Genomic DNA, 23056 nt, shown 5'->3' with positions numbered 1-23056 from the left:
CAAGGCGGTTCTGGTGTGATGAAAATGTGCTTAGGGAGGAGAGAGATCTCATTACAGATGATTGAGATTGAGTATTTTGGTACACAGAGCTGTTTATTTGCATCAGTTTGCTAGTGACACCACAATCTGGTTTACATGTGAGTCGCTGAGAGCTTTTGTAGCCTAATATGGCTACATTTGCTGAAGCAGGGAGATTAAAGCAACATATGTCAATTTATGATATAGGACAACCCACTGCAAAAGACTTTACCTAATTATAGGGCCTATTTTGGGAGGGTAATGGTGCTTTTTGTGAAGTATATTTTGGGATGCACTCACCCGGCTTCTAGGCCAGTAATATCTTCCCAGAAAGGGTGTGGTGTGTGCTTGTGGACATAAATATTTTCTTACCAAAAGCTGTGGTGTAATATTCTCTCAACTTTACTACCCTTCATTTTTCTTTTTCTGATAGTCTTTTCTTTTGCAAGAATGCTATGAAAATGTATTCTGGAAAGCCAGAGAAATGGAAGATAAAAGATCTCATTTCAGATGGCCAAGTCCAGAGATAACAGAGATTTTATCAGTCTACTGTTTTTAAGATGAATGGGATTTGGAGGCATTCAGCAACACTGACTAATAAACAGAGTTGAGGGAGGTGATAAAAACACCGTGTTGGCACTAGATATTTTTATGTAAGTATCTGTGGGAAAACTATCCATTTGCAACCCCTTGTGTCCCAGCCAGCACTGCCCCTGCTCCACTCCAACCCCTGGGTGATCCTCAGGGGCCATTTCCATGCCTTTGCTGTTGGCTTGTGACCCAGGGTAGGTATCTGCTTTTACTTTTGTTCTTTAAGACTGTGCCTTTCACCCACTCTACCTATTAACTTCTCTGTTAATACCTGAGACTTTTGGCCTTCAAGGAGAGGTCAGAACTTGCTGTCTGGTCTGCAAAATAAAATTAGCTTCTTATTTACACAATGTGTGTACAGGGGGAGGAGAAGCTGAGATGAAGAGTGAAAATGGACAATTTTGTAACCCAAAATCCAACCAGACCTAGGGGCTGGAGAAATGCTTTTACCTAAATTCTGAGTCATGAAGGCCATAACATGAGAGCAAGAATATCCCATGGGGAGAGTTAAAGGCGGAGAATCCCACCAGAGAGCCCTCTGGAGAGGTGTCCCTGAGACTCCCTGAGCAGCCTGTGGGCCCCTTCCTCAGAACTGGCCTAAGAGCTCATTAAACGCACAGATCCTGGCCTACCCCAGACTGGTAGAATCAGACAGAATCCCTGTGGTGGGTGTGTGACTTTATTCTTAACAGCCTCTCCAGGCGGTGCTTATGCACACGAAATTGTGAGAATCCCTGTTCCAGTCTCCATTCTCAGCTTTTCTTCAGGGCTTACAGTTCCATTTGAGGTTGTATGCAGCAGTCTGGCCCCGCCTTTAAGACTGATTCCCTTCCATAAGCGTCACTTACATATTTAAAGAACAGATCCCTAAAGCACATCATTTTGAAAATCAGCCCTGTGCATAGGAGGGTAGGGTGTCAACTTCTGTGTTACTGTGTAACCTTGGTTCTTAAAGTAATTTCCACAGTCATTGTATCACTTGCTCACTAAGAAAAGTATCATTTTCGTTCCAGGTTAGTTCTGGCAACATTCTAAACCAGATTCCTTGAAGTTGCTTTGCGGGAGGCCATCCTGCTCCTCTGCTACAATCACCCAAGTATTTGCCATCTGCTTTCACTCTAAAATTCACACTATGCTGTAGTTTTTATCTGTAGCAACACTTATAAACCAAAATTTCCCACTTATTAAGGGGAACATTTTCAGAACAAGTAGCTGTCACATATTCTAGTGCATGACTAGAGAGATAAGACTGTAATAGTTCCCACCTGGGATCCAGGTGGTTGGTCCCACCCCACAGCCTTTCCTCTGATGGCAGGCTGCTTGTGCAGATGCATATTAGGGTATCGTAGGCATAGCTCATTTAAGTTTGTAAACAGCTAGCTGGGTGCAGTGGCGCATACCTGTAATCCCAGCACTTTGGGAGGCTAAGGCAGGTGGGTCACTTGAGGTCAGGAGTTCGAGTCCAGCCTGGCCAACATGGCGAAACCCCATCTCTACTAAAAATGCAAAAGTTAGCCGGATGTGGTGGCACACGCCTATAATTCCAGCTACTCAGGAGGCTGAGGCAGGAGAGTCACTTGAACCTGGGAGGTGGAGGTTGCAGTGAGGCGAGATCACGTCACTGCACTCCAGCCTGGGTGACAGAGTGAGACTGCATCTCAAAAATTAAGGGGACTCCATCCCCTTAATAAGTAGGGGGGGAAAAAGCTGCAGCACATTTGATCTTCCCAAACCACTTCCTAGGCAGTGCAATGTTATCACCAGTTGGAGGCTCAGATAATTTAGCTGATGTCTAAGGCAGGAGGCATTTGGGAGTGTGTGGGGGGGATGGGGAGGGGTTTGTTGTTGTCCTCACAAAGACTGGGAGGTGCCATTGGCACATGATGCAAGAGAAAGTGGGGCAGGGATGGTAAATGTCCTGCAGTGCCTTGAACAGTCCTGCCCAGTGAAGAGCTGTCCCTAACACAGTGTTCATAGCACCCCTATGGAGAAACACTGCTCTGAGGTTGTACTAGAATGCAGTAGAGCCAGGTGCACACCCGCACTATCTGAATCCAGATCCTTTATAGCCCTCTCTGTGTTAAAGGCATCACAGAATTAATTTCCACTTCATTGGGAGCTCTCAGTCCCTGAAAGTTGAATCCAGAGTGGCTATTCTGCAGGTCATGCGATTGCTGCCCCAGGCATCAGAACTCAGGCATGGCCCACTCCATATGGAAACAGGCTCTCTAAAACCCCAGTGGCCTGGCTAGCCAGCATGTTATATTGTACCTGTCCTATCTCTATCAGTGTCCAGTGCAGGTGTGAGAGAGAGTACTGTCTTTGGAAAAGATGAGAGCCCAGTAGGATGCTCGGCCCACAGCCTCGCATCCACCTGACTTAAAAACCATCGTGATAGCAAATTGGGTGTTGATTTCAGAAGTTTTTGATTTGTTATCTTAAACGTCATACCTATCTGGTGAACCCTTACAGGAGCTGTTGGAGTTTTGTTTAAAGTTTAGTTTTGATGTCAGCCAGTAAGGGAGCTGAGACAGTGGCTACATCAGTTTGATGAGCACACAATGAAATTTATTAAATTGGTAAAAATAAAACCATATTGAATGAAAAGGAACCCAGGGCAACTGACCTGAATATAGATGTTGAAGGGATTCTAAAAGAGGGAGAGAAGGAGTAGTGATATTATCTCATCTTTTTTTCCTTTCCTGTTTTGTATTTCTCCCTCTCCCTCTCCTTTTCCCTCTTCCCCTCTCCCTCCCCCTCCCCCTCTCCTTTCCCCCTCTCTCCCTCCCCCTCTCTCCCTTTCCCTTTCCCTCCCCCTCCCCCTCTCCCTCTCCCTCCTCTGCGTCTCCCTCTCCCTCTCCCTCTCCCCCTCTCTCTCACCCGCTCTCCCTCCCCCGCTCTCCCTCTCCCTCTCCCTCTCGTTTTCCCTTTCCCACTCTCTCCCTCTCCCTCTCTCCCTTTCCCTCTCCCTCTCCCGCTCACTCTACCCCCTCCCTCCCTCCCTCCCCCTCCCCCCCTCCTCCTCTGCCTCTCCCTCTCCCTTTCCCTCTCCCTCTCCCTTTCCCTCTCCCTCCCCCTCCCCTCTTTCCCTCCCTCCCTCTCTTTCTCTCCCAGTTTCTTTCCCAACTTTTTATTTTGGAAAATTTCAAACTTGCTGGTTGGGAGAATTATAAAACAAATTTCAAACTTGCTGGTTGGGAGAATTGTAAAACAAACACTTTATGTCCTCTGCCTAAATTCACCATTTGTTCTACATTTGCAGCATTTGCTTTATTCCCTCTTCTAATTATATATATAAATTATACATATTATATAAAATTTTGCTGAACCATTTAAAAGTACCAAACATCTTGACACTTTACCTCTAAATATTTCACCACCCGTCCCCTAAGAATAAGGACATTCTTTTATATAACCATACTATAGTACTATTTCCACATCTTAAAAATTTAATAATAATTTTATATTATCTAATATTCAATTCATATTCAAATTTCAACAATACAGTCCCAAATAATATTTTATAACTTACCTCCCCGCCCCCACCCCAAAATCTGTAACTGATCAAATACACTTGATGAATTTGGTTGATAACTTTTCCTTCATTCATTATATAACTTTAAACAATGACTTTTTGAAAAGTTCAAGTTCGCTGTGCTATACAGTGCCTTACACTCTGGGCTTGTCTGCTTCTTCACAGCATTGTTTAGCATGCTCTTCTCTTCCTAAAATTGGTTAGATCTAGAGGCTTGTTATTAAGTGGAGGTTAAACATCTTTTGCCAAGAATACTTTATAAATGATGTCATGCACCTGATATTATATCACATCAGGGAGCAGAAGAAGTCACCTTGTTCCACCATCCTCAGTGCTAGGTTTCATCTCTTGGGTAAGATGGTAACCAGACCTAACCAATGTCAAGGTGCACCTTGAGTTAATAAATCATCTGTAGTCTGATACATGGGTCATTTGTGAACATCCTGCTCCAGCCTTCCTTTCATCCAGTGGCTTGAGTAACCATGGATAATCCTCACCTGATTCAGTTATTACTTTGGAATATTGTCTGATATTTTTTACTCTTTCCTTTCTCTTCCTGAATTATTCGTAGTGTATGACCTGGGCCTTCATATTTTTGCAGTGATGGTTTTCTAGCCATTTCCTTGATGGTCACCTGGATTTTGCTGTGATTAGGCTAAACATTTTTTTTTCTTGCCCTTGGGTTAAGAAGGAATAACTTTAGCAAAGCATTTACTACATGCTAGGTACCACACAGGCTCCTCATGTGTAGAACATTTTTCACTTTCTTCCCACATTACAGCTTAGACTAGTGAAGTGACTTGCCCAAGGTCACCCAGACTCTATGGGAGAGTAAGATCAAGCCATATCTGTCAGGTTTAGAGCTAGGATTTTTCAACAATTCCATGTTCCCTCTCATCCCTTCTGGCCATGCCCCCCATCCCTGCCCCCACTACTACAGTTCTTGCCTCAGGCCACAAGTGCCTGCCTGACTGAGTAGGTCCCTAAACAAGGAAAGTCAGCCAGGAGACTGCAGCTGGAGAAGCACAAGCTATGCACCTCTAAAGGGCAGGTACTGCTGGACCTCAGACGAGCCATGCCTGACTGGAAACCGGGATCTTTATGTTAACCATTCCGACTTTTCAATGGCGGTGACTAATTCAGATACACGGAACTCACCAGCCCAGTTGCCAGTTTTCAGCACCAGCATTACTGCTGTCTGAGGCAGCCTTGGGTAGGCCAAGGCTTTGTTTATAAATGGAATTTCATTGTCATTTGTTTGTATGTTTGTTTTTAACATCCTCTTTTACACAGAAATTAATATGCTTGGGAAGTGATAGTGTTTTGATTTGGGGGATGTTTGATTTTTTGAAGAGGGGGAAAGTTGGGTTTCATAGAAGTGTTATTTAACTGGATTACTTAATAGGTTAAGGTGTTATTATAAAATCTTGGATTTTTTAATTGGTAGGTTAACATTACAATAGTAGGTATTTCATATGTAAGTTTAAAGGAAAACAAATACATTTCCTTCTACATATCATCTGTAGGATTTTGCTGTTTTGAATTTTTCTGACTCCTTAAGAAGGGTGTGACATCTGTTGTTCCCATCTTGCACTCTTTGTTCTTTGTGTCTTTAACTGTGTTAACATGTCACAGGAACTCTGTCAGCTCAGTCCCTGAGAGGGACTGAAGCAGAACTAACAGATAAATAGCAGTGACTCTCCAGATGGGTCCAGGCAGAGGCTAAAGATCTCTGTTGGTCATTCTACTTGTTTTTACCAGAATTATTCTTGAGTTTGGAGTGACCGGGAATGGTGCAGGTAAAGAGCTTCTCTAGACTTACTTCATCATGCAAGAATTTGGTCCTGCCTCTCATTTTACACTTTAACCGCCTGAAGCACAGAGAGGTTGAGGAGGACCCAGGTAAACCTTGCTATGGTTTGTTCCCACCAAATCTCATGCTGAAATTTGATCCCCACTGTGGCGGTGTTGGGAGGTATTTGGGTCATGGGCAGCTGGATGCCATTCTTACGATAGAGAGTTCTCATGCTCCCAATTCTGGATTAGATCTCGAGGGAATGGTTAGGGTTCTTCCAAAGTGAGGACACCCCTCCTAGGTTTGGCGTCTTCACACATATCTGCCATGTTTTGACCCAGCACATGGCCCTCCTGAGAAGCTGAGCAGATGCCAGCACTATGCTACTTGAACTTGCCAGCCTGCAGAATGATGAGCTAAATAAACCTCTCATCTTTATGAATTACCCAGTCACAGATATATAAGAACACAAAATAAACTAGGACAGACCTGATTAGCTTGGGTCTCTTGTGATTGTTCTTCATACTCCCTAAGCTAAAGTTTTCAGTCTACAAGCAGTCACCATAATGCTTTACCCTGACCTGTCACCTTGTCACCCACAATGTTTCTTCCCATCTGAACCACCCCAGCTTCCCACCATCAGCCACATTTAACAAGTGAAGAAGTAAAGGTCTGAATCAGCACTGTCCAATAGAAACCAAAGTCAAGCAGCATGTACAATTTAAAGCTATCTAGAAGCCAGTTTAGAAGAAAGTAGAATGAAATGAGTAAAATTAAACTTTACATTTTATTTAACCCAATATATGTCCAAAATATTATCATTTACCATACAGTCAGTATGTTAAATTATTGAGATATTTTTGTACTAAGTCTTTGAAACTTCATATGTAGTTTACATTTACAGCGTATCTCAATTTGTACAAGCCACTTGAAATGTGCCCAGTGTGGCTACTGGCTATGGTGTTGGGCAGCACAGCAGTACAGAAGACATAGTCCAAGGTCACACCCAGCTATGTTCTTTAATTTAAATCTCAAGAGAAACTTGATCTGCTTTTTTGCCCTCCCCCCATCTAAAACCACATATTCCTGTCCTCTTTGTGCCATTCTCCCCCTCTCCAGCTAACTCTAATTACAGAGAGATGCTTGGTTTGGTCATAACTGCTAGCTCAGCAGTTTTCTACCAGCCCTGGCAGCTGGTGAGACCAACATACACTGCCTGTAAATGATAGTGTAAAGCATACTTTTAAACTTCTCCACAGCAGAGTTTCCATAATTTTCTTTCTCTTAGAAGTAATTCATTGGCATTTTTCAAAGCCAGGGTGTGTGTGTTTTTTTTTAATTCATTCTTTCTTAAAGTCCCATCTTAATCAATGGATTCATAAAATATTTACTAGCTAGTAATCTCCCCAGGACCACAGCAGAACAAGCAGGCCTTGTGTCTGTTTTTTATACCAGTTATACCTCTGTTTTGATTAACAGTGGTTAGGTTTCTTTTTTCCAACTAGTCAAATAGTCTCCCAATATGTCAGTCCCATTTTGAGTATTACTCACAATGAAATATCAGTAAAGGTTAGATTCCATTTCCACTAAATGTCAAGTCTCTGACCACTGACCCCACTACTTGAATTATTAGATTATAATCACAATCTCAGGGGAGAAAATGACAAAAGAATGGCGACAGACTCCTGGAGTTTGTTGTGATAGACTTTACTAAAATACAAACCCTTAGCTGTAAGAATTGAAATTCAAATAGGGAAAAGATTGTCCCATATTACTAATTAGAGGCCAGAACCCCACATCTTCCAACATTCTCAGTTAAGTGAAGGCTAGAGGAGATCATGTTTTTTGATATCTTTCAGTAACTGAAGGATGGCACTGCAAAGCCAGCCCTCTTGTAATACAAATGAATTTTCTTACATTCCCTTCAGTGCTGTATCCTTTGGATTTTGACTTGATGTCAACCTCACTATTCACAGATCCCCTAAAATCCACCATTTAAAAAACTTCAGGTGTGGGGTTGCATTTGGAATTAGAACAGTGTTGTTGTGAGTGGCTTGGTTTCTTCTCTTTCCCCACCATTTCCCTAGAGTAATACACACTTAGAGCCCCCAAATCACAATCCTTTTATCCCATGCTGATTCAAAGCCTTTTCATTTCTTTAAGTGGATATCTCATGTTCATTTCAAAATGTCATTTAGCAGCTGTATTTCTGCTAAATAACCAGAAATTATAGTTGACTCCAGCCAAGTGGCTGAGTACCTAGATTTTGTTTCCAAGTATGGTGCTGAGCAGAAATGTTTTGGTTTCATCCTCAATATTAATAGTTGACTGAGAGTGATGGATGGGCCTGGGGATGAGAAAAGGAAAGGAAATATAAAATATAGTGGCAGAGCATCATCTGCTTCAGGGACTCTTGACCTGGGGTTTTTACCAGAATTACCTGAGATGATATTAAAAATCCAGGTTCCCAGGCCCCACTGTCCCTCCATTCATTCGGAGTCCCGGAGAACAGGGCCCTGGCAAGTGTGTAGGAACCACCTGCTCTTACTCAATTGTATCCACTTATCAATACTTAGGGAGAATTTTACTGTATACAAATTACACCTCAATAAGCTTGTCCTGAAATCTGTTTGTACACATGCATATAAATTTTTGAAAGTTTTGACTTTCCCTACCATGAGGAGTATATTGACTGTCAAACGTTCTGGAGTCTGAAGACAAACTCACAGTTGAAACAATCATTCATTCACTCAGTAAACATGTAAGGAACAGTGCTGGGCATTGTTCCTAGTCTGGGAAAACAGAGATACATCCAGACACAGCATATACCTCGAAGGAGTTTGTTTAATGGATAAGAACCATATCCAACAATTATGCCACAGTGTGAAAAGTATATCTATAGAGCAAAAAGGGAGGAATCCCCAACAACCACATACACGCATGTGTGCACACACACATACATGCACATATTCCCACTTCCACCCCCCTGCTTTTTGAAGGTAGAAGAGATAGGCTGTGTTGTGAAAATTTTATAGAAAAGCCACAGCACGTGATTCCTGAGGTGTGAGTAGGCAAGGAAGTGAAAAGTGTGCTGCCTGTTTTTCAAAGGAGTAGCTCTCAGAATTTGATTCTAACGTCAAAAAAAAGTTTTTACACCCTCATTAGTTTTAAGGGGATTTTAACAACCCCTGATGTGATTCAGTTTGCTTATCCTGATCTATCTAGTCCCAGCACAGGTCTCAGTGCTGGCACACAGTAGGTGCCAGAATAGAAGTGATGCTTTTAGCAGTTTTGTCTCTCTTCTAACAAACCATTAGCCACAATTGTATCTTAGAGTACACACGTAATTTTCAAGATAGCACCTAAGGGCCAGGCAGGGTGACCCATGCCTGTAATCCCAGCACTTTGGGAGGCCAAGGTGGGTGGATCACAAGGTCAGGAGATCGAGACCATCCTGGCTGACATGGTGAAACCCCATCTCTACTAAAAATACAAAAAATTAGCTGGGTGTGGTGGTGCATGCCTGTAGTCCCAGCTACTCGGAGGCTGAGACAGGAGAATCACTTGAACCCGGGAGGCAGAGGTTGCAGTGAGCTGAGATTGCGCCACTGCACTCCAGCCTGGGCAACAGAGCGAGACTTCATCTAAAAGAAAAATAAAAAAATAGTGCCCAAGTTATCTTTGTAAGTATTGCTTCCAAAATACCAAAAATCTTTGCCCTTGAAGGAGAGCACATTTAAGAAAATGTGAATTATTCTACTGGCATGGTATGTTTTGATTTTTATATATTAAGGGAATTAACTCTTTCTTACCTGATTTTTACTCTTGTTTTTCAATATACCTGAAGTTTTAGAAGAGCAGCTATGTCAAAAGATCAAATGATCATAGCATGACTTACTTTGTCATTTAAAGGTAGACACAGAAAACAGCATTGTATTTTCCTGGATACTGGGTGATCTTGTTGGATTTGGGGAGCAGAGGTTATTTGAGAGCAGCTGTTTATATTGCATTAAAAATATAGTCGATGTTGGGGTGGCTGCTTACCTAGGACAACTATATCCCCTATATATTTTTGCAGCTTTATGTGTAAATTATGATCATTGGTTACTTTGATATTGTAGGACACAATAGGAGAATTCCCAACTTGACCCTTTGACTGTGTTGTGATAGGAAAAGACATTATATGATTTGGCTGTGTCATCACCCAGATCTCATCTTGAATTGTAGTTTCCATAATCCCCACATGTCATGGGAGGGACCCGGTGGGAAGTAATTGAATCTTAGGGGCAGTTACCCCCGTGCTGCTGTTTTCGTGATAGTAAGTGAGTTCTCACGAGATTTGATGGTTTTATAAGGGGCTTTTCCCTCTTTGCTTGGCAATTCTCCTTCCTGCCATCACGTGAGGAAGGATGTGATTGCTTCCCCTTCTGCCATGATTGTAAGTTTCCTGAGGCCTTCCCAGCCATGCTTAACTGTGAGTCAATTTAACCTCTGTCCTTCACAAATTATCCAGTCTCATGTATGTCTTTATTAGCAGTGTGAGAATGGACTAATATAGACAGCAAGAGCTGGTTTACATATGGCTTTGTTTAGAAGGCTGAATGATATTTCTAGAGGTGCCCTGTGCATTGGAAATTTTTTGTGGTTAATCTGCCTGCTTTCCAACCCTAAAAGCAATGTACATTCCAGGCTCTGTTAAGATAGCCATTCTGACTGGGAGGAAAATAGATGATGGTGTGGGAGGTGAGCTTGAGGTTAAATGGCAGGAAGGGCAGGGCATTAACTTTGCTACTGGGCATGTGCTTGCATCTGAGCTCCATTGCTGACCAGCTGTGGGGTCTTGGGCAAGTGACCACCCTGCTGTGACTCAACTTTCTCATGTCCAAAATGGTATTGTTTTGAGGATTAAAAGAGAAGAAGTGTGGTGCTGACATGATGCCTGACACTCATAAGTGCTTACTCTGTGTCATGTCTCTTCACTTTTCCCTTTTTACACATATATCAATCTTGTCATTCTCTTGTTTCAGAACTTCTCAAGGCTCCTGTTATTCCCCCAAGAAAGGCCTAAACACCTTAACCTGGCATCTGAGGCCTTTTATGATCTGTCTGTCCAACCCACCTCTTTAACACATCTAACTCTTTCACTTCAAATGTGATCCTGTAGCAAAACCAAACCATCTCTGTGCCCTTGGAGGGCTTTGAACACTCATTTTCTAACCTCTTGGGATGCCTTCCTGCTGTCGCTTAGAGTCTAAGTCTAATCTGCTGCAAGGATCTTTTTTTTTTTTTTTTAATTTCTAGTCAGTCTCTGCTTATCCAGCAAGGCTCATCTTAAGTGTCACTTCTTCCTAGTCCATCAGGCTAGAAAATTCACCTCTGTGTCCAGTACTGTGTCTTTTTCATCATAGGTGCTTAAAAATAACTGAAGTGTTATGAATAAGTCTTAGAACATATTCATAGATAACACACGCCAGAGAAATAGGTAAAGGTTCCTTCCAGGTGGGCATTTATGTCAGGGGAAAGGCCTGGGTGGCTTCAACAACAGAATCATATTTTCTCATAGTCTGGAGACTGAAAGTCCAAGTTCATGGTGCAGGCAGGGCCAGGGTCTGGTGAGCCTCCCTCCTCGTCTTGCAGATGGCCACTGTCTCTGGTGTCCCCACATGGCCTTTTTCTCTCTGCAAGTTCCCCTGCTGTCTCTTCCCCTTCCTATAAGAAGACCAGCCCTATTGGATCAGGGCCCTACCTCTTTGAACTTATTTTTCATCAACCTCCTTTAAGGCCCCCTTCTCCAAATACAGTTACATTGGGGGTTAGGGCTTCAACACATGCATTTGAGGGGACACAATTCAGTCCATCACACATAGGTATAAAAATTCTTCTGATCCTCTGAGAGTGTGTGTGCTCATGTGTGCACACACCCTGTGTGCAGGTCTCCTCTGTTACAAGCATTCGTTCCTGGCCTCATTCAGGAAACCCACAGGATAGCAAATGGCCTTGCTCCCTTGCGGTGGCCCAGCTTGGCCTGCCTACTCTAGCTGCCTCCGCATGATCCCAGCCCACAAAGACGCTGCTTCGGCCCCACCGAGAGGGCTCCAGACACATATTTTCTCACCCAGCGGTTCCATCAGAGCACCCTCCTGCCTCCAGCTGCCAGCAAAGGGGAACAAGAGAGAATGAGCCACAGCAGGGAAGGGAAGGAATTCAGGAACTAGAACAGGAGGGTGACATTTTGTTTTTTAAAAGAGCATCTTTCCTTTTACTTCTGTTTAACATTGTCCATGGGGTTTTTTTTCTTCCACCTTTCTCCAGATTCCCAATTCTGAAAGCACTAAAGGAACCCCTTAGCTCTACGAGTTAAGACAGTTGATAAGTGACGTGGGAGAATGCACTCTAATTAGGTCCTTGGTTAACCTACCCCTGACTTAACAGAGGGAGGCTGTTTGGTTACAAATAGTTCTTATTCTACTAAATCAGAGGCTTCTCACGCTGTGTCATCTGCCTGCAAATTAGCTAGAGGCACAAGCTTTGCATTATGCAAAGTACTTATTCTCACAATTAATATGCTGGAAAGTGTGGTTTCACACTTTTCTGCCGGCACAGGAGTTCTCACTCAGGAGTGAACCAGATCACCTGGGGAGCTTTTACAAAATACCCAAGGCTTGTCCTTCCTCCTCCCCATGCTGCCCCACAGCCGTGAGAGTGAGATGTGGGGCCCCCAACCCTGCACCAGTAACCCCAGTATCACTACTTCTTATTACTTCCTCAGAGGTTTCTTATTAAATATTTCAAATCGCTTTTTTCTTTTTTCTTTCTTTCTTTTTTTTTCTTTTCTTTTTTTTTTTTTTTTGCTTGACAAAATCCAGTGACCAATTTTCTTTTTTAACATTTTATTCATTTTTTTTTATGGAAAATTTCAAATGTATAGAAAGTAAACAGTGTAGCCTACTGGACTCCCTGCAACCTCACCCAGCTCCAACAGTGATCATCAACATTCTGCCATTCTTGCTTCACCTATAGCTGGATAATTGTTGTCATTATTTTTGACCAATTCAATTTTGTTTCATAGATAGCATAGCCTGAGCGCTGAAAATTGGTTATGTGTTCCTACTGCATATTGAATTGACTGTGTGCAAGGCACTTCCCACACCTTATTGCATTTAATCTGCACAGCACCCATAGGCATTGTTACCCACATTTTATAACAATGGAAACTGAAGCTCTAAGAAATTACACACCTGCCCAAAGTCTCCCAGCTAGTAAGTGCTCAAGCAAGCATTCACACTCATGTTTGAAAAGCATGCTTTTCCCCCTAAGCTACACTTCAGAAAAATAAAATGCATGAAAAAATGTATAGTTAAAAGTTTTGTAGCATGAATAGATGCATAGCTATTTGATAAAGCACGTATGTTATAATATTAATGTTTAAAGCTGGGTGGTAAGTATATGGATATTCAGTGTAAAATTATGAAAACTATGTTTGAAATTGTTCACAATAAAATGTTGGAAGGTTTCCAACAAAAGCAAACTTTGTCTTAACTCTCAAGCAGTGGACAAGACAAACAAGCTATTTTCAGATACCTATCCTGTTGATATCCGCTCCAAAGAGAGAGCTTTGAGACTTGGTTGAATTTTGACCTTAAAAATAGTAAACCTTAAAAATAGTAAAGTGTAAGCCAAAAAGTATCTGAGACAGGTTTCAATCAATTTAGAAGTTTATTTTGCCAAGGTTAAGGAACATGACCCATGACATAGCTTCAGGGGGTCCTGAGGAACAGGTACCCAGGGTGGCTGGGTTACAGCTTGATTTTATACATTTTATAGAAACAGAAGTTACAAAGACAGAAACCCACACATGTAAGGTATACATTGGTTTGGCTAGCAAGGCTGGACATCTCGAAGGCAGTGTGTGTCCAGGAGGTGAAGGAGGGGGTGACTTCTAGGTCATAGGTAGATTTAAATATTTCCAGATTGACAATCGGTTCAAAGAATTAAGCTTTGCCTGAAGAGTTGAAATCAGTTGAGGTAAGTGGGGTCAGGGGGCCTGAAAGATAAAGATTCTTGTCATGTGGATGAAACCTCCAAGAAGAAGGCTTTGGAGAGCATAAATGTAAATGTCTCTTATCAAAGGAGTCAGAGTCACAGAAGAGACCTAGTAAGGGAAGGAGATTCTCACCCGTGTCCAGCCATTTGAATGCGAGGACTTTTTTAGTTACCTGTGGTGGCAGGTGGCAGATATCACAAAAATTATGCAAGGACTTTTTTTTTTTTTAAGCTCATCACCTATCATTAGTATATTTTATGTGTGGCCCAAGGCAGTTCTTCCAGTGTGGCCCAGGGAAGACAAAAGGTTGGACACCCCTGCATGCAGACTTCCCCCACAAGAGACACAGCTTTGCAGGGCCATTTCAAAATACATCAGGGAAATATATGTTAGGGTAAAATACTTTGATTTCCTTTTAGGGCCTGTTATCTGTCATGTGATGTTATGCTAGTGTCAGGTTGGAGTTAGTATCATATTGCTATAAGAGTCTGTTCTGTCAGCCTTAGGGTCTCTGTTTTAATGTTCATGCCAGCCAGTTGTGCCTGAACTCCAAAGGGAGGAGGGTATAACAAGGCATATCTGACCCCCACCTTCCCTTCATGGCCTGAACTAGTTTTCCAGGTTTCTTTGGATCCCCATGGTCAAGAGGAGGGTCCACTTAGTCACTTGGGGGGCTTAGAATTTTATTATCGTTTACAATAAAATAGACATTACTTAGAGGTATAAGTAATGAGCATTAACTGGTGAGGTCTTAGGGAACTGAGAAAACCAGATGCAGAAGCAAAGCCTCTCCCAGGGTGGCCCCCAGCTGTGGCCAACAGCTCAGGAAGCTTCCTCACCGCTGCTGCTCGTGGAAAGCCAGAGCCAGATAAAATGAACAAGTTATTTTTTCCAGTTCAAGCCACTTAGATAGGATTCCATGATGATTTCTTTTTACCATTTACCCAAAGGAACATTTTGCATACACACAGCCTACGTGTTGAAGCTGTTCCTTCTCACGGAAGGGCATAACCAATTTCTTCACATAAAAAACATCGAGCCACCCACACTCCTCCATGATGTAATGCAGGTCCTGCTTTGACGGTGAGCTGACCAGGGATTGCTGAGCAGTCTCAGCATTGGGAATGATGATTGGATGCAGATAGCCTGTCCAGGGGATTCTCGAGAGCATTTTTTTTGCTAAAAGTACAAGGAGACCCTGGGCAAGCAGCTAGCAGCCCCCTTTCACAACCCTGCAGAGCGTCCTGGAGGTCCCAGCAGCCACTGTTCTTCCTCCTAAGCTTGCCTGCCATGGCAGCATCCACTCCACCCTTCAGTGCTTGAAGCCAAGTGGTTGTCGCCCCGGAAGGCTCTGCCCTTCTGGTTTTAGACTGCTGTGGAGGAGGGAGCCACTTGGAGATACAAAGCCCACCTCTCTAGAATCTTCCAGGGTCCCCACAAATTATAAAACTATGGTCACACCAGGAAACCAAGGCATTTTCAATAACAACCTTTCCTACTGATTTCCAGCTTCATCTTCCAGAATTCCAGTGCACTGCCATTCATACCATTCATTAACTGTTCTCCTTTCACTAGACCACGAGCAGGTATACAGCCACAAAGAGGAACCCATCTCATGAGTTAACTACTCCATCAGCTTCCTTCACCCTGAAATCTTTTGGCAGTACAGGCTAGAAGGAAGAACAGGCTTTGCAATCAGACCTGGGAATGAATCTCATCGGCATCATTACTGGCTGCAAGATTTTGGGAAAGTGGCTTAACTTCTTAGTCCAGCTCACAGGATTAATGTCAGGTTTGGACTCAGATAAAGAATGTGAAGGCTCCCTGCCTAGTCTCTGGCTTGTAACAAGTGCCACCAAGTGCTAGTGTCCTTTTTCTGTATTATGTATGTTGAGTTGTAGATATCTGCTGTCAGGCCCTGTCCCTGCCACTGGCTGGTGATGTGAACACATCTTGTGTCTTTGCATCTCTGCACCACAGTTTCATCATCTCACAATGAACTGCCTGCTCTCCAAGATGTGGAGTTTTTTAAATTATACAATTTGGTTGCACCTTAGGGGATCCCTCTGATTATGGAGGCACAGTAAGGTCCTGAGCATAGGTGGTCAGCAGTCCAGAAAGGGAGAAGGCCGAGGGCAGACTGGAGAATGGGACTGGTGAGATTCAGATAGGAAGAGCAGGGGAGAAATGGTCAAAGTGAGACTGGAATCAAAAGGTTGGCATTTCTAAAAACTATAATTGCACTTAAGAAGTTTTGCCAAAGGCGATTTAGTTACCCCACAGTGAGGAACATGGGTGCCTATGTCTCCAGTCACTTCCCCACAAGAAACCTAATTGCAGCCTGGGCTCCGTGCAACTCCCAGCTTGAGGGGAGGCCCATGGGCTTCTTTGTGTGAGGAGCGCGCTGCAGCATTCCTGCCCACACACGCCACTGCTGCCTTTCTCCTGAGAAGGAGTTCCGTTATTATTTCATGTGACCTCACAGCCAGGGGAGCTGGTTTGCCATTTTGCATAACACACATTAAATTTGTTTTTAGATGTGCTGTTGAGCCTTGCCTGTGGATCTTCTGTCCTCTTGTCGGTCCCTGCCTGCTGCAGCCATCCAGGCACTTAGGATGCCTATCTTTTTCTCTACAGCTGCGAGGAGCCCAGTAGTTGGGTTTCCTTAAATGCAAGCAGATGGAAGCGAGCAGGAGTGTGGAGGCAATTAGAGGATTTCCTCCTCCAAGCAGTGCGGGTTTGCTCTCTCTTTGGGTGTGTGGCTGTTCTTGCTCATTTTAATTTTCCATTTGGGTTTTGTCAGGCTGTCAGCTTTTTTTTCTGGCTGTATTATGCTGCTGGTTGCAGGAGCTTGCAAAATGGGGTGATTTGGTTGCTTATTGTTTGGAATCAAACTTTTCACAGTACGGTATGGGTGACGCATATCGTGATGATGATGACACTTCATATTTGTAAAATATTCTGCAACGTAAAGAATGTTTTCACATACGTCACTGTCTCATTTGGTCTGGACAGAGGCCCAGAAAAAAAAAAAAATGAAGGCTGTACTCAGTCTGCTAGAGTCAAAGTTTTGCCTTATCTTTTTACGCCATCTCTAGTCAAACCACAGCGGAGAGAATAATCGAATGAAAACTGAAGCTTTCTGCTTTATTCCTTTTCTCCTTCTCCTTTCAGTCAGGTAAATATTTTTCACTTTCTGAACACAGTGTTAGATTCTCTGGTGACAATTAAATAATCGTAGCAGATAATCGTTGCCGTCGGGGAGCTTTCAATGTAGGTGGGGAGACAAGACATACAACAGTGAGTTTACATAACAGTGCCTGGCACACAGAAGGCACTAAGGAACTAGGTGCTGAATGAGTGGGTGAGTAAATGAATGTGGAACATAGCCCACCAAAGTCCTGAAGGGCAAGAACCCCTAGGGGGGGAACCAAAAGATCCACAGTCCTTGATGAGAATGGGCACCGAGTGCCTGGGTGCCTGGGAGTGAGCAGGCGAGAGGACCCAGCACCGTTGTGGACAGCCTCCGTTCGGTTAGCACCACTGCACGAGGGCTGGAGTAGAGAGGAAGCCATTTGTTTATGAGCTGAGAAGAGTGAGCAGGAAAAATGCCATTCTTTGCTCTTAAGGATGAGACAAGCATAAAAAGAGAGGCAGACAGGCAGACCAGAAGGAAGAGATTGCTGACAAAATCATTGTCAGGAAAAGTGCCAGTGAAATCACTCCACCTTAAAAGATCTATGTTCTGGTTTTGAGAACCTACTATATTGTAGACCTGTGCCAGAAGCCAGAAGAAGGCAATGGGAAGAATCAAAGAGATTCTTGGCCCCAACCCTTACCAGACCCTGCCATGCACAGGAAACAGTTAAACAATGTGACTGTCTCACCTGCAAATGATCAAGTGTTGGGTATAAGCCAAGGAGCTGAGAGAGGGGGAGACCAGCGCAGGTCTGAGGAGCTGAGAAGGGAGGCTTACGTGAAGGGTAAGACTCGCATGGGCCTGGCCGGTGGACAAGATGTGGGAACTGCATGGACAGTTATGTGGAGGTGCATTCCATCCTGGCTGGAGAGTGTGTGAGGGGCAGTGGGAGATTGGTGGAAAAGATATAGGCCACTGGTGTGGAAGGCTGGGAAGCCACGCTTCAGATCGGAGAAAGTTGCTAATCAGAGAAGCGGCGTTCTGGAGGTGGTAAGTGGAGCTTTGTTCATGCCCAGAATTTTCATTCCTGTCCTGCCGTCCTAAATGCTGGGCTGCAGTCTGCACTGTCCCCCGCTGATGGTATGAGAGTAAGCCAAAGGAAGGAAACATCTTGTTGGGATGGCACTGAGCCATTTCAGTGTCTCCTGGGGGCACTGAGCCATGCCCCAGGGCAAATGCCCAGTGGAGAACAGGAGTTCAGGAGAAAAGGTCGTCCTCCAGTCTAACAATCAGCAGGACACTTGGCTTTTGTTGGGTATTTTCACTGCCATGAAACTATACTTGGTTTGTGAATGTTTTGGTGACCACCAAAAATGTATATGATGTGAATTCTAGGCATTTTCATTATGGTGGATTTTTTTAAATAACGTCCACATTAATATACACCCCTAGTGTAAAGTACTTAAAGATACAGAACAAAACAAAAGTCACCTATTAACCCATCACACAGAGATAGTCACGCACATCATTAGTATTTTGTTGAATGTCCTTTCCCGGTGCAAATTTAGGAATGTTTAAAACATGGTTTCAAATTGGACTTAATGTTTTATATCCTACTTTGTTTTAACTTAGCAGTGCACCGTGAATATTTTTTAGTCACTAAATTTATGTTGCAATATGATTTTAGTGCTATATACTATTCCATTATAGGTATGTACTATATTTAATCAAACAGAAAATCAGTCTACTATCTTTGCTTATTTTGATGTTTCCAGTGAGTTAGGCTTTTAACATATTTTTAAAAACAACATCAGAATCTAGTGTTTTCAGATAACCATGTTTTTATTGAGTGAGTTGTCCAGCAAGATCCACGTGAATATAGAACATTCTCTACCCTTTTATCTCATTTTTTTTGTCACTTCATTAAAAATGGTAATAAGTCAACCCCTCTGTGGAAAAAAGAAATCGTATGTGCCATAGTTTCCTTCTCTAAGACTGTTAAAAACATGAGCTGACCAGGCCCCCATGCCGATGGACATACCTGGATATACAGTAAGAGTACAGGGAACGCAATTGGATCAAGAAGTTCTTAGAATTTAAATGACATCCTGTGTTTTGTTGTAGTGAAATTTCAACAGAAGTAACTCTCCCTATTATCTTCATGTAAATGAAGAACCAAGCATTCAAGAGCTTTCTTAAGAGCTTTGCCTACCTCTTGACCAATGTCTCCCTTCATAGCATCCATCTCCTTCCTGATGTGGGATGCCATTTTGGAGGGCCACTTCCTGCTGACTTTATTGTAAGCTGTGTAGAAGAGAAGGTATCAGCCATATTTTTCCTTTTAGGCAGAGTTTGATTTGCAGAGGCCTGGACTTCCTGCTTATGTGTCTTTCCAGTGAATAAGTGTGATTCACCACAGTTCAAAGTAACCCCATCTACAACGCCTCATTTTTTTAAGTGAAATTTTTCCATGGGAATAGAATAGAGAGGAATCCTGTAGGTCTTCCATGAAATTATACTCCCTGCCTCTCAGAGTTTTACAATATAATTAGGTTACTTGTTTGTCTTAAATTTTTTTATTATCCTGTGCTTATCTGGTTGAGGTGCCTGTTGAAGAGCAGGAGATGAAGGTCAAGAAATATAAGCACAGTGCTCAATTTTTTAAAATAACTTTGTCTTACTGTTGCTCGTGGATAGAAATAAAATTTTTCATATTAAACTAATACTTAGCCGTTTGCTGAAACCTCTTATCAATTCTAATAATTTATCTGTATTCTCTTAGTTTTTCTGTGTAACAGACATACCATCTATAAATAATTACAAGTTTTTGTTCTTTTTCAATCTTTTATCTTTTATATATTTATTTTTTCTTTTCCTACCACTCTGGCTAGGACCTGCAGGAAATAGCACAGGGGATAGGAAGTAGGGATAGCGGGGATAGGAAGTAGGGATAGCACAGATCCTTAGCTTGTTACTGATTTTAAAGGGAAGGCTGTTAGCATTTCACCATTGAGTATGGTGCTTACTGCTGGGTTTTGGTAAATACTTTCTATTAGATTATGAAAGTCCCCTTCTGATCCTAGTTTGCTAAAAGTTTCTATTTTAAAAAATTATAAATGTGTTAATTATTACTGAGTGCCTTTTCTGTATCTATTGATAAGATCATTGGGGTTTTCTCTTTTAATCGGATAGTACAGGAATTATTGTCATCCATTTTTTAAAGTTAAATCATCCTTGCATTATTAGCAAAAATCCACATTAGTCGTGATATATTTTATGCATTGTTGGGTTCTGTTTGCTGATATTTTATTTAGGATTTTTACATTTGTATTTATATCTGAGAGTGGTCCATAATTTTCCTTTTTCCTACCATCTTGGATTTGGTTCTGAGATAGTCCTAGTGCTTTTCCATTTTCTATCTCCTGCATTTTTTTTTGGTTTTGATCTAAAACACAGATTTTTTTTTTACTTTTTTTTCTCTAAAACCATCTGAACCTAGTGTTTATTGGTTTTTGGATTTTTTTGGGTGGAAGGATGAGAAGCTTTTTAACTAATGAATCAGTTTTTTAAAGGTTATTAGACTATTCAGGTTTCTGTCTTGTTAGAATAATAATTTGAATTTTTCTGTGATATTCTTCATTTCATTGAAATTTTCAAACTTAATGGCACATATTTCTTCATAGTAGTGTGCTGTTATTTAATCCTTGCTGAATCTGTAGTTATGTTCTCTCATTCATTCCTAATGTTATTATTTGTAACATCTCTGTATTTTTCTTGATCAGATTTGGCTCTTATTAGTCTTTCCAAATAAATAGCTTTTCCTTTGTTCATCTTCTCTAGTGTATCTTTGTTTTCTGATTTTAATTTCTACCCTTTATTATTTTCTTCTTCTGCTTTCTTTGGATGTACTCTTATTTACTTTCTGACTTCCTGAGTTGGATACTTGTTCATTAATTCTCAGTCCTTTTTTCTTTCTAGGACAAGATTTAAGTATTTTATTCTAAATAAAACTGTAGTGAAATCTGATATATTCTAATATGGAGTATTTTTATCATCACTCAGTTATAAGAATGTTGTAATTACCATAATTATTTCTTCTTTGATTCATGAGTTTTATTAGCAGCATCATTTTGAATTCCCAAATGAATGAGAGTCTTTAGTAATCATTTTGTTACGGATTTCTAACTTAAAAAATCTGTTGTGGTCTGGGAATGTTGTTTGTATGATACTATTTCCACAAAATGCATTGAGACTTGGTTTGTGGCCTAGGACATGGTCAATTCTTTTTAAATATTCCGTGAATTTCTTTAGTGCATATTCTCCGATGGGGGCTGTGGGGACAGAGTTCTAAATATGCCCATTAGATTAAATCTCTTCATTCTGTTGCTCACATCTTCTATATCCTTATTAATCTGTCAATCTCTTCAAGAGAGGTGTTATTAAAATCTCTCACTGTATGTGTCACTTTGCCCTTAAAATTCTGATGATTTGCTTTATAAATGGTTATAACCATTTTCCAGGAAGAACATTAAAGAACTTTCCATTGGCATTATCCAGTTTCCCTCAAAATACTGGTTTTTTTTATTTTGGCTTCTAAGCAGCTATGAATCCAGTTTCTCAGAAGCCCTTGTCTCAAGGCATTTGTTTCCAGATTACCTTGTTAGCATCCACACTATGGGCTATTTTAGAAAAACAAAAAAAGTATCAAAATCATATAGCTATGATTTTCCTGTGCTTGAAGGAGCCTTAAAGCTCATCTAGTCCAGCCAGTATTTGTTCATCCAAATTCTGCCAAGAAATCTCTATTGTCAAGATATTCTTTACCATCTTTGGGACATTCTCATTATTAGAAACAAATCCTAAGAAGAAATTCTGCCATATACAACCCATCCGTTCTTTAAAAAAAAAAAAAAAACAGCTTAAATTTTCTTGTCTAAGCACAACAATTTCCAGTGTTTGTATTAGTTTTTCTCAACAGAATTTCGAGTCCTTTTAACATCGTATTACTGTTAACAAGTTCTAAATTCTGTGTGGTCATGCTTTGAGAGACTGTCAGATTATACACACACACTCAGGTTGTGTGTGTGTTTGTGTGTTTGTGTTAAGGAATGTTTTAGTGGGCACCTATTAAGGAAGCCTCTCAGGAAACTACTGTATATTAAGGCCAAAACCAACTGAACCCATCATACGATTTCTCTCCCTCAAGGAAAGCAAATGAGAATGAGCGACTGTAACCCTTGCCTGTTGTTCATAAGCATGTACACCAGGATCTGTGTGATCCTTTTCCTGAAGATAAACAGCATACTGCTCAAGGAAGGAAAACAACGCATAGCAACAAATTTCCTGTTTTTTAAAGAAAGATCCAACTTGGTTTAGAAATTATGCTGGCTTGCTTTCTATGTTTCTAATAGAGAATAAGGAGAAACTTGCTTCTCATTTGCCGACATGAGGTAAGTGTTATGTCTGAAAGTTCCAGAGATCACAGTTTATACATTGAAGAAAGGTAGTAAAAGGTTTGCGAAGACCTCCTTCCCCGTGGGAGAGGTGCCCTACTGTGCATGCCGGGAGTTGGCTGTGGGTCATGGGCACAGTACCCCTCACCCAAATGATTCTTCCCAACCATCAAGAAAGTAAACCCCAACTTGGGGCCCAGAAATATTCAGACAGTAGAAGAGTTCCACATTCAGACAGACGATAAAAGAAATATCTTCATATTGCCTAGCATTGAATTTGATAAGGAATAGAGGAACAGTATTGTCCTTCTGACCGGGCTCTGTCTCTTGCTGCCTAAAATTTTATTATCATTGCATTTAAAAAAATCAAAGTTCAGTCTTACTAGAATGGATAGAATGGGTAAGTGTAGCTTCTAGTTTGGTGAGTCCTTCACTGTTTCTTCCTACTAACCTCCCTAGCTCAGTCTGGCTAAGGGCAGGG

The 23056-nt window shown here is 41.7% G+C and overlaps 1 protein-coding gene across 19 annotated transcripts in view, besides 2 other annotated features; it reads left to right on the top strand.

Annotated features, from left to right (window-relative positions):
• The window catches only part of FYN (FYN proto-oncogene, Src family tyrosine kinase), a 213121-nt gene that overhangs the window by 96447 nt on the left and 93618 nt on the right, over positions 1-23056 (top strand). For 3 of the 19 annotated variants that reach the window (XM_047418571.1, XM_047418565.1, XM_047418567.1), the window contains exon 1: positions 19419-22572. The exons of 12 other annotated variants lie outside the window; for them this stretch is intronic. The gene's annotated coding sequence lies outside the window, so the exon portion shown is untranslated. Of the gene's footprint in view, positions 1-17088; positions 18173-19418; positions 22573-23056 lie in introns of those variants that run through there. 4 more of the 19 variants (NM_153048.4, XM_017010653.2, NM_001370529.1 and 1 more) reach the window with 3 other exon arrangements.
• Positions 64-123: a silencer, noted in NCBI's record as "silent region_17480". NCBI's record gives its function as "represses an Ori minimal core promoter by ATAC-STARR-seq in GM12878 lymphoblastoid cells {active_cell/tissue: GM12878}" and the evidence as "EXISTENCE:reporter gene assay evidence [ECO:0000049][PMID:35858748]".
• Positions 11921-12497: an enhancer, noted in NCBI's record as "H3K27ac-H3K4me1 hESC enhancer chr6:112085712-112086288 (GRCh37/hg19 assembly coordinates)". NCBI's record gives its function as "activates a minimal SCP1, AML or CMV promoter by ChIP-STARR-seq in primed H9 embryonic stem cells {active_cell/tissue: H9 hESC(primed)}" and the evidence as "EXISTENCE:reporter gene assay evidence [ECO:0000049][PMID:30033119]".

Source organism: Homo sapiens, chromosome 6, assembly GCF_000001405.40.
Source record: "Homo sapiens chromosome 6, GRCh38.p14 Primary Assembly".
Lineage (NCBI taxonomy): Eukaryota > Metazoa > Chordata > Mammalia > Primates > Hominidae > Homo > Homo sapiens.
The sequence above is the reverse complement of the archived record's forward strand: the minus strand, read 5'-3'. Positions and strand labels throughout refer to the sequence as shown.